The following is a 3,458-nucleotide window of genomic DNA, read 5'->3' as shown; positions in this document are numbered from 1 at the left end:
AGAGATTGAGGAGGGTTGGTGTTAATTCTTCTTTAAATATTTGGTAGAATTCTCCTGTGAAGCCTGGTCTGGTCCTGGTCCTGGACTTCTTTTTGTTGAGGGGTTGTTGATTACTGATTCAGTCTCTTTAGTATAGGTTATAGGTCTGTTAGGTTTTTTATTTCTTCATGACTTAGTTTTCATATGTTGCATGTTTCTAGGGATTATCCATTTCTTTTAGGTTATCCAATTTATTGACATATAATTGTCATAGTATTCTCTTATAATCCTTTGAATTCCTGTTGCATTAGTTGCAATGGCCTCTCATTTCTAACGTTAGTTATTTGATTTTTTATATTTTTTCTTAGTTAATCCAGCTAAGAACTTGCAAATTTGTTTATCTTTTCAAAAAACGAACTCTTAGTTGCATTGATTTTTTCTATTGTTTTTCTATTCTCTATTTCATTTATTTCTGCTCTAATCTTTATTCTTTCCTTCCTTCCCTAACTTTGGGTTTTGTTTGTTCTTATTTTTTTCCTTGAGGTGTAAAGTTGGGTTGTTGATTTGAGATCTTTCTTCTTTTAATGTAAGCATTTACAGCTATAAACTTCTCCATTAGTTCTGTTTTTGTTGCTTCCCATAAGTTTTGGTATGCTGTGTTTTCATTTTTATTCATCTGGAGATATTAACTAATTTTTCTTGTTAGTTATTCTTTGACCCATGGTTGTTTAAAAATGTGTTGTTTAATTTCCACATATTTGTGGCTATTCTAGTTTTTCTTCTAGTACTGATTTCTAGTTTTATTCTATTGTGGCTGGAAAAGATATTTTGTATGATTTCAATCTTCCTAAATCTATTAAGATTTGTTTTGTGCTCTAACATGTGGCGTATCCTGGAGAATGTTTCATATTTATTGTGTTGTTGTTGGGTTGAGTATTCTGTCTATGTCTGTTGGTCCAATTGGTTTATAATGTTTTTCAAGTCCCCCGGTTCCCTACTGGTTTTCTGTCTGGTTGTTCAATCTGTTATTGAAAGTGGAAGTATTGAAATCTTCTACTGTTATTGTGTTGCTATCTATTTCTCTCTTCTATTCTGTCAATGTTTGCTTCATGTATTTAGGAACTCACCTGCTGCAGTCACACTGGCCTAATCGATATTCCTTAAACACACCTTGATGGGCCTCCCCCAAGGCCTTCACAGGTACTGGTTACTCCATCTGGAGGGCCCCATCTTTGGTTCTCTGCCTGGCTCTGTCACATCCTCATAACAGTCTTCCCTGACTCTTTCTCCCTGCTCCAAATCAAGAAGAGGCCCCTTATTCTAACTGTTCATTACATTCTTTAGTTTCCTTTCATTTTGTTCATCAAATTCCAAAATCATATATTTATTAGTGTTTATTTAACAATTGTGTCTCTCATGAGCCTGTTTGTTATATGAGGTCAGGGCTATGTTGTCCTCAGCTATGGCTCCATGCCTAGCACAGAGTTGGGGAAAGACACCCAATGAAACACATGCCGGATGAGTGAATAAAGGAATGAATATCTTTACTTTTTTTTTTTTTTTACAAATTTATGATGTACATCTTATCTTTGTTTTGTCATTGAAGCAACTGAGACTCAGATACATGAAGCCACTTGCCCAGGGTCATGTAGCAGATCAAGAGCAGAGCTGGGACTTGAACTCAGGCATGGAAAAAAGTCCTGCAAGCATCATTCATGGGGAAACAGAGAGAGGGAACCCCAGGCATTGGCCTCTCCAGATTCCTCCTTGGAGTTCCAGCTCAGGCAAGGACTCCACACAGCTTTGTCAAATGCCAATCTGTGGTCTCCAGTCCCCACAAGGGTCATCTGACCTCTTGCTTTGCCCTTAAACCATACCCAGTTCTCCAGCCATCCTGACCATGTGTTCTACCTTGAACAGGCCAAATGCTCCCAAGCCTCTGAGCCTTTGCATATGCAGTTGCCCCCACCTTGAGTATCCTTCTCACTGTGTCCCCCCAACAAGCTCCTACTTGCCCTTCTTGGCTGGGTTCAATGTCACTTCTGTGAGGCTTCCTTGACTTCCCCAGGGAGATTTGGGCAAGCCTTGCCCAGAGCTCCTCCAGCACTTCACAGGTCTTGGCAGCCAGCACCTCCACCAGGCTCACCTGTTCCTGTGAATTCCCTGACCACTCCTCGAGGATCAAGTCAAAGATTATAACATGCTATATAAATGTTCGTGGGTGCTGAATGAATGAAGGTGTGCATGAGTGAGTGACTGAAGGCATTAGGTTATGGAGAGATGAAGGGGCCTCTGCAGCCACCTCCTATCTTCCTGAAGTGTGAACATCAAAGGTCACCAACACTGAGGGGACTCACAAATGGAGGCTTCAGGGAGAAGAAATGGCACAAAAATGTCATTCGGTCCATCCCTGTGCTTCTAGGCTGGGAGACTATTGTTCTGATTTTATAAATGAACCAGAGAGGTTGGCCCCTATGTCCAAAGTCACACAATCAATACCTTGCCAAGAACCCTGATTTCCAGCAGTGACAACCAAACCATCATCAGCCACAATAATTGGAGCAGAGTGGAAACTATGGGCATTGTGTGCTCAGCACGTGCCTGGCCCTGTGCTGTGGGTATTGTTTCATCTCCTTTAACCCTCACTGAAACCCAATCATTACTCTTATCCTCATTTAATTAATTTATTTAGACTTGCATGGTGCCTTATTTTCTCAGAACAACAAAGTATGTTCGTTTAAAAAGGTTTCAAGCAATAAAATGAGAGCCCCCATCATCTCACACCCTTAGGACCATTTTATAGATGAGAAAACTGAGGCACTGTCTACACAACCCACCCTTATTCTCTGTGAATGTACAACTGAGTTCTTGTTTACCTGATGTGATGCCCAAAACTCAGTGACTCACAGGGAAAACCAAGGCCTGGGAAGGTTGGGAAGTTGGAAACAATTGTTTCTCTTGAATGGACTGTTTTTCTCTAGGCCATTGTCAGCAAATCAGTATTCACTTGTGCCACCCGGTATGGTGCCTGCCTCCCTGCTCGGGGCGGCAGAGGAAGTGCTGGTGAAATCTAAATAGAGGTGTGCTGAGTAACCTGGATGGAGACCACGTGTAGGTAGCTCTTGGGGAGTCCATAAATCCAGGCTGAGGAATTACCTGGGCAGGTGCTTCTGCCACCAGCTTCCCAGCTCAGGATAGGAGCAGCGTAATTAATTCTCTGGTGGTGGTTGTCTGGAGTAAGCTGGTCCATTTTTCTCTTTTATTATTGTTGAATTTCAGGAAAGTGTCCTCTTCAGGCTGTTTTCTAAGTGTTGGATTTATTTGATGACTCCACTAGTAACAAGGGCCAGGGTGTGTCCTGTGGTGAGGAGGACTCGGCCCCTGGGCCCACCGCCCAGAGGCTTCTCTCAGAGGGTGTGATGGGCGGGGTCCCCATAGGCACCACCATCCTCCCCATCAGTGGTCCCGTAGATGTTCCT

Source organism: Homo sapiens, chromosome 1 (genome assembly GCF_000001405.40).
Source record: "Homo sapiens chromosome 1, GRCh38.p14 Primary Assembly".
In the NCBI taxonomy this organism is placed as follows: Eukaryota; Metazoa; Chordata; class Mammalia; order Primates; family Hominidae; genus Homo; species Homo sapiens.
This window is presented reverse-complemented; position numbering follows the sequence as displayed.